Here is a 14,821-nt window from a genome sequence, read left to right on the forward strand (position 1 = left end):
ACGTACCTGCTGCGATGCGGCCAGGTGCCCTGCCTATGTGTATCTCCCATTTCCTGTCTCGTGGGCCCCCCACGGAACTGTCTTCCCTGCCTGGCTCCCTTCGGCCATCAGGAGGTGCAGAGCCAGGGCTCCTAATCCCTTCACCTCTACAAGGGCTTTTGCTGGGAATAGGGACCTGCTTTCTGCCTCCCTGCCCAACCTCAGGAAGCCATCCCCTCTGTGCCTGGCATGGCTAAGGCACCTGTGCCACAGGTAGAATGAGGAAAGGGCTATCTTGTGTAGTCCTAGATGCACCAGGCTTTAGTCTTTGTGTGTTTTTCCTACCATGCATTCTTTTCATGGTTCAATGGTTCAATCAGCTGTTTGGCAAATATCTGATTGTGTACTGTAAACAAGGCATGGGGCTAGGTACTCAGAAAAATATTCCGTGAATAAGATAAGATCTTTACTTTAAGGACCAGAGATAATAGTAAGTAGGTAACATTTTTTTAGTGTCACCATGTGCCAGGCCTTATGCTAAGTACTTCTAGAAATACTAACAGCTTTATTGAGATATAATTCATATACCACAAAGTTCACTTTTTAAGAGTGTACAATCCATTGGTTTTTAGTATAGCCACAGATTTGCACAACTATCACTGCCACCTAATTTTGAACATTGTCATCACCTGCTAAAGAACGCTCCACTCATTAGCCATTCTCTCCATCAACTCTTCCTGCCCCCCAGTCCCTGGCAGCACCAATCCACTTTCTGTCTCTAGGGATTTCCCATTTCTAGACTTTTCATGTAAACAAAATAATGTAATATGTGGTCTTTTGTGTCTATCTTATTTTATTTAGCAAACTGTTTTCAGGGTTCTTCTAAGTTGCATTATGTATCAGTATACCATTCCTTTTATGACCGAATACTATTTCATTGTATGGCTATGCCACATTTTTATCAGTTGATGAATGTTTGGATTAGTTCCTCATTTGGTAATTAAGAAAACATGCTGTCATGAACATTCACATGCAAGTTTGTATGTAGACGCTTGTTTTCATTTCTCTTGGGTATATACCTAGGAGTAGAATTGCTGGGTCATATGCTAACTCTATGTCTAACATTTTGAGGAACTTCCAGACTGTTTTCCAAAGTGGCTGCACCCTGTTACAATCCCACCAGAAGTGCAGAGGGCTCGCATTCGTCCACATCCTTGCCAACATTTGGATTGCCTGTCCTTTTAATTGTCCTGTCCTTTTAACTACCATAGTGGTTCTGAAGTGGTATCTCATTGTGGTTAAGTGCCTTTTGTGCTTTCTCTCATTTAATCCTTACAAATAATCCTATGAGGTAGGTATTATTTCTATTGTCATTTTTAGGTGAGGCTCAGAGAGTAAAAGAGTGACTTTGGAAAACCCTAGTATGTAAATGGCAGAGCTGGGACTTGAACTCGAATCTACCCAACTTCAGAAATCCAAGTTCTTGCCTGCTGGGATCATCACAGAGGCTGTAGAGTAGGGGATTCTTTCAGCCAGGCCCTAAATAATGAGATCATTTCAACAAGACAGATGCGAGAGGGAGCAACACGAGCAAAGGCAGGGAGGCAGGAAATGGCGGGGCACAGTTAGGAAAGACCTGTCTGAGAAGGAGAACTAGAGTGGAAAGCGGGTACAGTACTAGGGTTAGACATAGAGGCCCAGAGGGGTGCAAGGCCAACAGGGCTGGGTGGTCCACTGTGTCCCTGTGCCCCGTGAGTGGAAAGGACCACCTGAAGACTGAGGCAGATGCATTTGTCTCAGGGAACAGGTTTATGTTTTTCATTTCTTTTGCTAAAAAAAAGAGACATTTCAGCTAAAGGTATAAGAAAATGATGCAAATAAAATCAGAACCGAAAAACTGAGAGTTCCTGACCTCTTCACTGGATTAGTCAAATGCCTCTTCCTTTCACTTTATATTTGTAGAAAGCATCTTGAGCACACCACCTGTTAGGGAGTCCACGGATGGTTGGATAGGCTCCTTGCCTCTGCTGTGCCCACGCTGCTCTTATTGAGTTTAAGTGGCTCACAGTTGCCCGCTGTCTGGCCTGGGCCAAGTGTGTGTGTTTCCACTGCTGATGATCTAACATACCCAGAGGCCTATGAACTTCATTCTTGTTCATCGTGTCAGCCAGATATTTCCTTTGGAATGTCTGCAGGATTTCCTGGCCCCTTTCATTGCTTTCTGTCTGCTGAATACACCTTTGAATTGTGGGTGGGCTCTCTTGAAACACCGGTGTGTAAACAGATTGATGAAATTGGTGGTTAGCTTGTCTTTTGAGAGTTTCTCTTTGGCAAGGAGCACTCAATTCCAACGTTGAAGAACCTCTGACGGTTGAAATGATTGACTGCGCCGCTCCTCTTTAGGTGGCTTAGTTGGATAGCTGATTTACAAAGTGCTTCTCAAGTTTAAATCCAGCGGATTTTTATTTTTCACCCCATCAAATGAAGTATTTACCATTATTTTTCTTATAAAAGCTATATATGCTCATTACCAAAAAAGCAGAAATACAGGGGAAAAAAAAGAACATTAAAAATACTCATAATCTCAACTGTGCAGAGCCAAACAGTGGTTAATGCTTTGCTTTATATTTGCCTAGATCCTTTTCTATACAGATAATTGTTTTGAAAACAAACTAAAGTATTGTACTTTATAAACCATGTTGTAACTTACTCTTTCTCCTGAACTTTCCGTGTTAGTGTGTGTATGTGTACAAAGTTGTTTCAAATGGCTGTTGAGTCTTCTATTGTGAGGATGTCCTCTAATCATTAGAAATTTATCATCTCCCACTCTTACCTTTATAAACTGAGCCCCAATAAACATGTCAATAACGCTCATCCCATCTTACCAGGCTCCAGTTACAGAGCCCCACTTTCTGTCCCTTTAATATGACAACTTTATTTCTACCCTAGGGTCTTCACAGTAACTGTCTCCCAGGCCTCCGGCCCCCAGATCTTTCAGGGATTAAGGGAGTCCCTTGAACCAGGGAGGCTGCTTACATTTAACCTCAGCGGTCTCTTTACAGTGAACATGCCTTACAGGCCAGCCTCAGGTAGTCAGTCCCACTGTCCAGTGGGCTGTTCAGGGCTTCCTGAACGCACATCATCCTCTGTGACTGCTGCACAGTGGCCCAGAATGTGACCTCTGAACTCAAGCTAGAGAAAGCAATCAGAGACCTGGGCTATGTGAGACAGGGGTGGGGGCCAGGTCCCGAAAGGTTTGTAGAGCCTTGTGTCGATTCTGTGGCACTGGCAGCCACCATCCCAGGGACTGCCTGGGTGCTGCAGCTCCGTCCCCAGCCATCTGCATGTTCAGTTTTGGTGGACTGTAGCTGTGGGGAAGGCTGGAATCAGCTGGACTTGCAGCTTTGGACATTGTCACCCACTTGGGAACACACTAACAAGCTAACTAGGAGTGAGATTATGTTGCATTGCTAGTCATGTCCCTGATGGCAGCAATAGCGGCAGCTTGCCTAAAAGAAATAACGAATTATCATACTATCTTCCATGAGATATTTCCCCAGCTCTCTTTCAAAGTTAAAATTTGCTTTTACTTTAACAAAGTGATGCCTGCGTGCACAGTTTAAAAAATCAGAGTGCTCATAAGAAAATATAGCAGCCCCTGCCCTGTCTCCCCACCTTCACCTTTTTATTTCCTAGAGGCATTTATTTTCCACTTTTTAAGATTTTTTTCCCTCTAGTACTTTATCTCCATATTTCTAAGTAATTTTATTATATTGCTTATTTCTTGATTATTTTCTTCTCTTATAATCTCCTCCCATTAGGCAGTATCACAATTTTTGGTGGATTAATGCTTAGTGTTTACATAGATTACAATGCAGACATTGAATACCACTGAATCAAGTAACATATTAGGAGTGTGTGTTCTTTCTCATACAACCTTTTATTTTTTTCTTGGAATTAATCAGACTTGTTTCATTCATTTGAGGAGTTGTCCGGGTGCCTATTGATTTTCACAGTACGTTCTTAAAATGTCTTTTTAATTTTTAAATTGATTCTTTTTTTTTTTTTTTTTTTGTCAAATAGCCTTAGGTGCATTGTTTTCATTGTTCTAAATGCTCTAAGGCAGTTGTCACATGCCCATCCCTATTTCTTTCGAACGAGAAAGTACAGTTCTAAATGCTCTCCCCTCCACATCCCCTCCTCCCCAGAGGTTGCTGCCCTGACGTCTCTTCCTTTCCCTGTCTGGGCCTGGGCGTGCTGCTGTCCTCTGGCTGCTGTGCTGTGTGGGTTCTGTTTCCTGGAGTTTATGGTTTCCCCTTTATTGATTTAATCCTCGGTTCTGCTGATGCATCCTCCAGTAGCTTCCTCAGAAAGGGCCCCTGGGAGATAAACTTTTTAAGTCCTTGCACATCGGCAAAGGTCTTTATTCTACCCTCACACTTAATCGATAATGGGCTTAGATGTGGAATTCCAGAGTTCCTCAGAATTTTGAAGACATTGTTATCTTGTCTTTTAGTTTCTAATGTTGCAGTTAGGAAGTCTGATGCAACATGATTCCCGTCCCTTTGTATGTGACCCGTTATTTTTCTCTGCAAGTGTTTAAGGTGGTTTCTTTATCCCCAGTGTGGTGGGATTCTCGGTTCTTTCGTTTTGGGGTGGGTCTTTTTCATCCACTTTTGTGGAAACACTCAGGACCTCTTTAACACAGAGGCTCCCCCTCCCCTCCGGTTTTTATTTTAAAAGTTCTTTCTGAAACTTTTTGTTAGCTGGATGTTGTCTTGACCCTTCAGTTTTCATTCCTATAATTGATCTCTTCATCTCTGTACTTTACCTTCTGGAAGATTTCCTCAGCTTTCTCTTCCAGTGTTTACAGTTTCTAATCTCTTTATATTGTCCTCAAATTGTTCCTTTTTAAAAACGTTTTCATAATACTCTGTTCTTGTTTGGTATTTGCAGTCTATTCACTCATCCCTCTGAGGATTTAATTACAGACTGGGTTCTCTGTCCTGAGCCGGCACTGTTTCCCCCTATTCTCTTTGCTACCTTCAAGCTCCCTTTTTTCTATTTTGGGCCCTTCTGTCATGTCTGAGCCTGTCCCCAGTGCCTGGTGACCCTTTGTTGTGGGTTGGGATTTAAGATGGAGGCACCAGCTCATGGGCTGGAGCCCTGTGGGTGGGGGGCCTGCTGGCTGGTGTGCTACACAGTGGGGCGACGAGCAGGGAGCTGGCTCAGATCGTGGGCTGGTCCACCCTGGCGCTTTCCAGAGACAAAGCCCTCAGTGTCCAGTGTTCAGGGGAGGCGGCTGGAAGCAAGAAGGAGGGTAAGCGCGGGTGGCAGGGAGGGGCCTGCCATTGCCATTCAGTGTGTACGCTTGGTTACTCAATTACCCTCGTTTCCACTCTGAAGTTGCACCTCCTCCCCCACCTCCTCCTGACCTCCAGCCTCCTTCCCCACCTGCCGGGCTTGTAGAGTCCTGAGCTGTGCTGGGTTCCTTTCTGCAGAAGATACACCTGAAACTGGGGTGGGCACCTGGGAGTCTAACCACTTTGTTTATGAACCTTGTTTCAGTCTACCCAATTCAGCCCTAAACTTGCACTTGCTCCCCCGCCCCCACCCCAATGGTGTCTGGTGATTCTGGATCCTGGGGCTCTGCTCAGTATCGGCTGCCACGGGCCCCTTAGGTCACAACCCGCCCCCTCCCCCACACTTGCTAAATCCCTTGCCCTCCGCCTTCTGCAGTGCCAGGCCTTTGTGCTGCCTCTCCCCTCTTGCTCGTCATTGTGGAGGCTTCTGCACTGTCCATTTGATTGTTGTTTTAGAAGAATCCTGGCAGGAAGAGAGATAAACCATGTGTACATTCCGCCACTGCCTGGCCCTAGGGCCCTCCTGCTCCTCCTCAGAGACAGCTCCTACTCCTGGGGAAGAAATGCTAGGAGAGAGGTTGTGAGAATGTGTGAGTGTGAGTGTGCAAGAGCATGTGCATGTGTGCACATGTGCACATGTGTATGCGAGGCCCTGTAACAGACTCTGAAGGTTCTGCAGTCAGCAGACATATCGAGTTGTCTTGGGAACAAGGCAGCAAACACACAAGAGAACCAAAAGAGTAGGTGGCCTCAGTGCTGAAATGGATATGTGTCTCAGAGTGGTGATTTTGAAGGGGATTCACTCAGCTCAATGGATTAAATCCTGGAAATTTCATTTGAAAAACTTCCCGTTACCTTATTTGGGTAGCTGACAGGGTATGTGGCTTTTCACACTGCCCTGATTGCAGAGTTGACTCGTTCATTTATTCTTTCAACAAGGTTTGATGGAGCCCATCCGTGTCAGGCATTGTGCTTGGCACAGGGGGTAAAATGGCAAGCAGAACAGGCACTGCCGTTGTCCTTGTGAAGCTTATAGTCCAGGGTGGGATAGCAGCGGGAGGGCAGATGTTCCTCGTACAAGTATATCATTTGTGTTTGGAAAGACCAGCTTTGTTCCCAGAGATTGGCACAGAGCCCCGGGACAACTGAGGACTTTTTGAATCCTGATGTAGCCTGACATCACTTTCCAGACTTGGTTCGCTGTCAGAGCAGATGTCCCCTTTTTTGGTTTAGAAACATTCGCGCTGTCTTTGGAGTGCTCATGCACTAAGGCAGGCACTTTGCATGTTCGTGGGCTCCTGTGCCCCGGCAGTGATGCCCGCAGGGAAAGGCAGCATGTCCACTTTGCAGAGGAGGACAGGACTGGTTTAAGCTATTGGGCCTCAAATTCAAGTCTGCCTCTGAACTCCATGTTGCGCATGCTGCACGCAAAGCATTTGGTCCTCCACCCCACACCCCACCTTACCCCAGCTTCCTGATGCTGGGACCTGAGGCTGACTGCTGAGTTTGTAAGTTTCTGCAGTGCCGCCAGGTGGGCGTGGGCACTGTCAGGTAGACCCTGCCTTGAGTCAGTGGTGGAGGCTCCTCTTGACACTGTGACTTCAGCCGCATAGATAGATCATTTATCTTGCAGATCATTAGCTCTCCTGACTTGGGATGGGAAGAATTTAGGTTATTAGGCACCTTTATGTGACTGGGTTGGGAAGACACCTCTGGGTACATCTTGTTGCTGTAGGAAAGACAGGCCAGAAATGCCCCCCTTGTTCCACCAGGGCTGCCTTTCCAGTGCTCTCAAAGAGCCAGGAACCCACATCTCACTCCTCACCCAGTACCTGGTCCTGTGGGTCCCTGAACCATCCAGCCCTCCAGGACCATTCCAGAGCCCTTCTCTGCCCAGTACTGCCTTCCTTGGAGGTTAGGGGAGTCTCTCTCTCTCTCTTTCTCTCTCTCTCTTCTCTGTCTCTCTCTCTCTCTCTCTCTCTTTCTTTCTTCCCACCTCACCTCCCTGGGCCCTTCATGATGCCTTTACACACTTCCACGTCATTGCAAATGAGTTTGGGCCCAGGTCAAAGCTGGGTCTTTGGTCATCCTTTTTTAATGCTTCGCAGACAAGGACTGGGAGGCTCTAACTGCCCAAACAGTGAAGCGTGGGCTCAAACAGAGGGGCTCACGTTGCCGGCTTCTCCCATTACATTTTCATTTCTCACTCTGAAAAAGGACAGTTCTAGCAGTGTGGTGGGTGGAGAGAACCATCATTGGCAAGCCCTGGAGACCTTTCTAGCCTTGGGTTAGAATGCACAGCACCCCTCTGTGGCACTTCCAGATATCCAAACAAGCCCTTCTAGACGCCCTTGTCTCTTGGAACGTTAAAGACACAGCTCCCTGTCTTCCAAGGCAGCTTGTGGTTCCACAGCCTTGGAGCGTCCTGCAGACAGTTTCTGTTTTTGAAAGTTTTTCAGAAATTATGCATTTATTATAGAGAGACCATGTAGGTTCCCTTATTCCCTTTGTTTAGAGCATCTTTTATTTTTACATTTTAGTGATTCTGAAATTGGGATGCATCTTAAAATAGATGCATGTGTTTGGATATGGTGCTGTGCCTTTTTCGTGTGAAGGGGTGTTCCCCAAATGACTGCATCCTAGAATTGAGGAAATACAGTAAAGTTGCATTGGGAGACAAAAATCTTTCAAAACATGTAATCCATGGGAGAAAACAAGCATAGGGGGTGCTTTGTGTGGAGGAGCTGAGACCACTGCCTTAAATCTCATGTTTCCCTAGAAACTCTATGTGTGACCATTATGGGGAAAGATGCTGACAAGGCCTGACCCCCATTCGATCGTGTTTCTATCTGTGGGGGTGACATACTTGGAGCAAACAGTTCCTAAAATTATCCCCATACCATTCCTCCTTCAGCTTTCAGGTCAAATATATTTGCATCTTTATCATAAGGGCCTTTCTTTTCCTGTTGTTATATTTGCTAATTTACAATTGTTTGGTTTGAAAAACAAGGATTTTTTCTTTTGCCTCCTGGCCTTTTGGTTTTTCTGAGGCAGCCTCAGAGAGCGTGGCCGTGGTGGGCTCCAGGAATGTCCTGGGGAGCCTGAGCCCACTGGGCTGGGGTCCTGGCTCCCGCCTCCGCCCTGAGCCTGTGACAGGCAGAGGCCATCCATGTGCTGTGGGGCCTGCCATGCTCTGTGCAGAGCCTGCAGTCAGTGTGTGGGATGGGGCTGAATCAGGGCACTTTTGTGTGAAGAATGGAGGCACTTCCAGCCATTTGTCAGGATGGGCGGGAGCTTGTCAGGTCAAGGACTGGATCCCAAAGTCTGAAGCTCAAAAGGACAACCCAGAAGGAGTCAGAAAGTGAACTGCTCAGAGACCTCCTGCAGAGTTTATCCCAAAACAGGCACTGCTCCTCAGTCTTCCTGGATGTCCCCCTTCGCGGTGCTTAAAGGAAGGTGTGCAAGGTTGATTCATGCTCTCAGAGGGAGGCTGAGTCAGAAAACAGACCAAGCCCTGACCAGCGATTCACAGAGCAGTCTGGAAAGAAATAGGAAGAAAGCACCGCCCTCTCCTAGCCTTCTTCTCCTCCTCCTCTCCCATCTCCTTTGCACTCTCTCCCACAAAGCCTGGTCTTTCATGGGAATATCCCCCAGCCCAGCCCCAGTCTAGGTCACAGGGGCTTTGATACTCAGATCAAGGCTGGCTGGCGTCATTCTCAGACTCTTCCTAGTGAGAATTTCTACAGCTGCAGATGAGAAAATGGCTTCTTAGTGAGACTAGAAACAAGGAACCGAGTGAGTCTTCTTTTGTTTTTCTATCCTGATCCAGTTTCTCACCTTGAACCCCACTGTCAGGGCTTGTACCAAGAGGACGCAGGGTGGAGTGAAATGTTTCTGACCTCCCTCCCTGCCCCAGCCTCCAGTAGAATCCCGTTGACTGAAGCACCCAGCTGGTCCTGGGGCCCTAGAGCAGGAGGCTGTGTCACCCTCGCCGCAGGCAGCGCCCCCTCAGGTGGCTCATCACACCCAGTGGACTCCTTTCTTCACCCCGCACCATCCCCCCGAGTAAGTGGTAATAGCCGCTTAATGTACTGACTTACCCAATCCCTTCTTGGTCCATTACGACAAAAGTTGCTCTTTTCTCATTAGAATCATTTTTGTCAGGGTGTCTTTAATCAATGGCTTCCCCAGGGACAGTATTTTTAGAAGTTGTGTTTTTCACACCCTCCCTTTTGGAAAATCTCATCCCAGTGCCTAGTGAAATGAGCTAATGAGATGCCGGGAGATCCCAAGCTGGTGTTAATTGGAACAGGCGTGGAAGAAGTGGCCCACGCGCACCTTCAGTTCCTTCCTGCCTTACCTGCAATCCTTTTCTCTGTCTCTCCGGTGTAGGTTGCACAGACAGCAGATGGTGTGGATGCTGACCTCTGGAAAGACGGCTTATTTAAATCCAAGGTTACCAGATACCTGTGTTTCACAAGATCATTTTCCAAAGAAAATGTAAGTCTAGTCGTAGTTTCCATTTGCTGAGTGAGCACAAGTAATTTACATTCCTGTTTGGAATTTCCTCATTTTGTTGTTGTTGTGGTTTATTTTCATTGCCATATTAATTTATCTGTGGTTTTAGTGAACTGGGTAGAATCAGCAGCCAGCACTGTGTTTCATTTATTAACAGTGTTATTAACCACGTACCCAAGTGTACCGTGAATTCCATTAAATTGTGTTCTCAAAAGGAAACCAGGAAATTTCTCTCCCAGCTCTCATTTGCCTACCTTTCCTCCAAGCAACAGATCACAGGGTAGTGCGGCAGTGAGAGTTCTCCAGTGGAGCGGGATTTAATGCTGGCCAGCAAAGGCAGCATGGCTCAGGGAGGGCCCCTGTGACCCCACCCCATGCCCTTGCTTCCACAGTGACGTTTCCTCGCTCTTTGAGTCTCTGTGTGACATATCACATTTCGTTATTTTTGTAGGTAAGTATTGACTCATGTAGATTTCTCTATGCTTTTAAAAAAAAAAACAAATACTTGCACCTGTAAATTAGGAAACTTTAAAGATACCTACTAAGGTTTTTTTTTTAAAAACATCTAATAAGATATTTTAATAGATGGCTTAGAAAGAAAGGAAATAGCTTTGGTGAGTATCTGCTCTGTACAAGGCCTGCCCTGGGCACCTCATTCTGTCCCCAGGTAATCTCTACCAGTGGAAGTTCCTTTCCATTGAAGAAACCGAGATCCAAGAGGGAATATGCTTGTTCAAGGTTACTTCTCTTCCCCAGCCCCAAACAGGGAGCAGTTGGGATTTTCATTTTCAGGGCTAACATTTTATTTTTGGCCATATGTTATTGTCTCTTTGTCATGTAAATTTTTATTTTGGGAAATATTTTTATTTATTTATATAAATTATATTATAAAAGTAATATTTATTTGCAGTTAAAAAAAAAAAACTGAACCCAGACAACAAATATCCTCATTCAACAGCATGAAAGGGGGAGAGCATTAGTCATCCTCTCTGCCACCTGGCCCCGCAGGCCCAGGGTCCCATCACAGGGTCCTGGCGTGTCCCCTTGGTGTTTTCTGAATATCGACCATCATGTGGCTCTCTGGCTTGCACTCTTTTCTGCCACCCATTCCTGTTGTTTGTGGTTAATTCTTTGATACGATAATTATTCTGAACATATACAGGACTGGGAGAAAAGTCATTGCTTTATTTTTTCCCCTAATTACAAGAGCAATATATGCTCCTTGTGAAGTACAGAGTTTATAATGGAGTCAGGGGAAATCTTGACACAAAAGTCTGGAAATCTTTTCAATTCAGGCTTTTGAGTGTATTTTAAATACCAGGAAGGTGGCAGGGCTAAAGAGTGGACAAGGGCACTGAGATCTTATAATGAGTCCCTGCAGGTCCCCCAGCTCACTGAGCAGCCTGAGGTACCCAGGAGTGGGCTGAAGGCTGAGTAGAGGCTTCAGTTAAAAATGAGTAGAGGCCGAAGAGGCTTCAGTTAAAAATGGCCTGAGGACAGCCATGATCTCTGTGATCATTTTTTAATTTTGTTTTCATTGCATTTCCCCCCAGAGACTATGGGGTGTTGGTACCTAGGCTAGCAGAGTCCCTGCATCCCTTGGAGTGGGGACAGTGACAGGCCTGAATGTGACAAAGAGAAGTCACTGGGGCTTGTTAGCATTGGGTGTCATGGGTAAGTGTATTAAAGAAAACACATTGATTTCATCAACATATGTTGAACATTAAAAAGATATTTATTGGGCATGATGGAGGGATGTAAGAAGAGGACAAGGGCAGTGTGAAAAGCCTCTGCCTCACTTTTGAAGCAGAGTAGGAGATAGGTGCGTGGTGCATATTGTTTTTGGAAAAAGAATGAATGGATCCAATAGTGCGATCCAAACGATCGAGTACCAGCAGTTGGCAGGGGCCCACTTGCCAGCCCAGGAGTGGAGGAGGAATCAGAATATTTTAATCTGTTACAGCCAGTCTATGCTGGCCCTGTAGTCCAAACCAAGACTTTGCAGACCATCATTTTTTACAACTGTAAAGGAGGGATGTGGGGTCTCAAGACTGGACAGATTCTTAATTAGCTGACTTGAGACTCCCAATGTAGGAGTTTTGGGAGACTCCTTTGGAACCCAAATTCCTTTCCCCCAATAATGCTATTAATACAGAAATCTGGCTTTGGAGTGACATTGCTTCCTGGGGAAGGATCGAGATTAATTGCACTTTTCATGCCCTGTACTTTCTGCATTACCTGTAATAATAATGTACATAGATTAGGTAGGGAGGATATTAAACAGAAGGATTTATGAACATTTGAATATTAAGTTGGTTATCTGTGGCTACCTTAAATGCAAGGTTGTCAAAAATAATTACAGTATACTAGCAAATACTGGCTACCAGAGACAATATAAATACCCTGAGTCAGTGCATATTGGGCTTTTGGCATGAATCATTTGCTCAACAAGGATTGGGAATACGTTCTTCATATTTATGAGGAGGAAATGAAAGAGAGAACAGATGGGGGAGGGGAGAGGAACAGGCAAAATTAATGGTGTCGCAGACCCACTGTATTAAACCCAGTACAGTGGCAGCCCTGTGTGAGGAGGGACCACAGTTGGGCTGTGGGGAGCTCTGACAGTGCAGCCTCCCATTTTGTATGCATGCAAGGGTTTTTTGATGCTTTGTTTTTAATGGCCACACCACTGATGTTCAGGTTTTATGATCAGGGACATTGGTAGAGTGTGTGGAGGGTGAGGTCACTAAGTGGTTTGCAGTTGACTTCTGTAAAACCCAACTTGTCAAGCAGAAGACATTTGAGAAGGATATTGATGAATGCCCATCCATCTGCGGGGCAGGAAAACATGCCTAGTTGTTAATTTCTCAATGCAGAAAGCAGTGATGACATGGAAAAGCAACTGCCATGAAAAAAAATTATGATAGATTAGACCAGGCGACTCTGAAAGCAGCTGATGTTTGCAAGTTAGGTTAACAGTTCAAACCCTTCCTACACGGTCAGAGATTTATTCCGTGTTCTGAGGGTCCCACTTACCACTAACTAGGCTGCACTGTACATTGTCTTCCCGAGGCCCAGCTACCTGGAATGTCAGAATATCAAATTGTTGGTAAATATGATAGTTCTGAGAGGAAGAAACGGTTTCCTGATGGCAGTGCCGTAAAAACACTGGTCATAGATTACACTTGCTGCTATGACCTTCCTAGTTAAATTCTAATAATTGGTTTCATTTGTGTACTTTTGGTTCATAATATTTATTAGTGTATATCAATACTTTTGATATTTTTAATCATATAGTTTAGATTTGACATCTCAGCAAACTCAACTTGATATATGTGTGTGTGTATATATATATATGAAACGAAGTCTTCCTCTGTCGCCCAGGCTGGAGTGCAGTGGCACAATCTCAGCTCACTGCAGCCTCCACCTCCTGGGTTCAAGCGATTCTCCTGCCTCAGCCTCCCAAGTAGCTGGGACTACAAGCGTCCACCACCACACCCAGCTAATTTTTGTATTTTTTTTAAGTAGAGACAGGGTTTCACCATGTTGCCCAGGCTGGTATCAATCTCCTGACCTCAAGTGATCCACCTGCCTCGGCCTCCCAAAGTGCTTGGATTACAGGCATGAGCCACCATGCCTGGCAGATTTTTTTTTTTTTTTTTTTTGAGACAGAGTCTCACTCTATTGCCCAGGCTGAAGTACAGAGGCATGATCTTGGCTTACTGCAGCCTCAACCTCCCAGGCTCCAACAATCCTCCTACTTCAGCTTCCTGAGTAGCTGGGACTACATGCATGAGTGCCACCACACCCAGCCAATTTTTTTAATTTGTAGAGATGGGGTTTCGCCATGTTTCCCAGGCTGGTCTCAAACTCCTGAACTCAAGCTACCCACGCACTTTGGCCTCCCAAAGTGTTGGGATTACAGGCATGAGCAACAGCGCCCGGCCTCCAGTTCGATTTGTGACTCTGAGTGGCCCGGTTGAAAAATGTGCACCCGAAATTAATTTATTCAGCAAGTAGTTACTGAGCACCTGCTGTGTGGCAAAAACCATGCTAGGCTTGTATTTATAGTAGGAACAGAGATAGTTTTGGTCTTCATGGTTCTTAAACTCTAGAAGCAAGACAGATATTAAACAAATAACCCCATAAATTGATAGGAAGGGAAAAAGAGAGTGCCAAGAGGGAACATAACACAGTTTAGATGATAAGAACTCCCTGCTTGGCTTTCAGAGACGTGACACAGTGCAGGTGGAGGTGGGATCTTGGCTCCCATGTGCAGAGATGGAGGTAGCAGCCCTTCTTCTCTAAGCAAGATGGAACAACAGCCTGAGAAGTTGCTGTCCAGGGCAGAGTGATGGCTGACCAACTAGATGCTTGTCCAAGGATGCTGAACAAGTAAACAGAGAGCATGTTCACACTGGGCTTCGGGGATGAGGCACTTCTGCAAAATGGGCACGTGGAGTGCACTGCTAGTATCCTAACAGGAGAGATTTGGGATTTGAGCCCATCATTCTTTCCTTAACTGGCTCTGACGAGAGAGGGGGAACCAAGCTGCAAATTACTCTGAAGATTTTAATGAAATCTCCAAAGTGGCCCCACATATTTAAGTTGTAGGGTAGATATCTTTAGAGCTCATTTCCAGCTTGAAATGTGGGCTGCAAGTGCTGGCGTGTTTGCAAAGAATTCTCTCTCGCAATTACAGAATGGTGTACTGTCTTAGAAAGATATTTGTACACCAGTTACCGAAACTGCGCACTGTGGACCCCATATACTACCACTAAACAGAAACTTTAGGAGGCCCTTGTGCGTGTCATTTTAGAAGATGTGTAATATTGAGGCAGCAGGGCTTTCACTCTGTATTAGTGTATGATTCTTGGGATTTTGCAGAATGTATCTAGCAACTGAAATGTGTGTCAGTATGCAGACTGGTGATCACTTAGGAGAGTGATTGGTTCCCTGTT

At 45.5% G+C, this 14,821-nt stretch overlaps 1 protein-coding gene across 8 annotated transcripts in view, besides 3 other annotated features; it reads left to right on the forward strand.

Moving 5' to 3' along the window:
• Nucleotides 1-14,821, forward strand: part of MVB12B (multivesicular body subunit 12B) — a 180,212-nt gene that overhangs the window by 44,501 nt on the left and 120,890 nt on the right. For 7 of the 8 annotated variants that reach the window (NM_033446.3, XM_017015275.3, XM_017015277.3 and 4 more), the window contains exon 3: nt 9,735-9,842. In NM_033446.3, the coding sequence (NP_258257.1) occupies nt 9,735-9,842 (108 nt within the window). Of the gene's footprint in view, nt 1-9,734; nt 9,843-14,090; nt 14,256-14,821 lie in introns of those variants that run through there. The other variant, XM_017015279.2, reaches the window with a different exon arrangement.
• Nucleotides 4,653-5,258: an enhancer, noted in NCBI's record as "H3K27ac-H3K4me1 hESC enhancer chr9:129138261-129138866 (GRCh37/hg19 assembly coordinates)". NCBI's record gives its function as "activates a minimal SCP1, AML or CMV promoter by ChIP-STARR-seq in naive H9 embryonic stem cells {active_cell/tissue: H9 hESC(naive)}" and the evidence as "EXISTENCE:reporter gene assay evidence [ECO:0000049][PMID:30033119]".
• Nucleotides 5,259-5,863: an enhancer, noted in NCBI's record as "H3K27ac-H3K4me1 hESC enhancer chr9:129138867-129139471 (GRCh37/hg19 assembly coordinates)". NCBI's record gives its function as "activates a minimal SCP1, AML or CMV promoter by ChIP-STARR-seq in naive H9 embryonic stem cells {active_cell/tissue: H9 hESC(naive)}" and the evidence as "EXISTENCE:reporter gene assay evidence [ECO:0000049][PMID:30033119]".
• Nucleotides 7,993-8,900: an enhancer, noted in NCBI's record as "H3K4me1 hESC enhancer chr9:129141601-129142508 (GRCh37/hg19 assembly coordinates)". NCBI's record gives its function as "activates a minimal SCP1, AML or CMV promoter by ChIP-STARR-seq in naive H9 embryonic stem cells {active_cell/tissue: H9 hESC(naive)}" and the evidence as "EXISTENCE:reporter gene assay evidence [ECO:0000049][PMID:30033119]".

The sequence above is a fragment of the Homo sapiens genome, chromosome 9 (assembly GCF_000001405.40).
Source record: "Homo sapiens chromosome 9, GRCh38.p14 Primary Assembly".
In the NCBI taxonomy this organism is placed as follows: domain Eukaryota; kingdom Metazoa; phylum Chordata; class Mammalia; order Primates; family Hominidae; genus Homo; species Homo sapiens.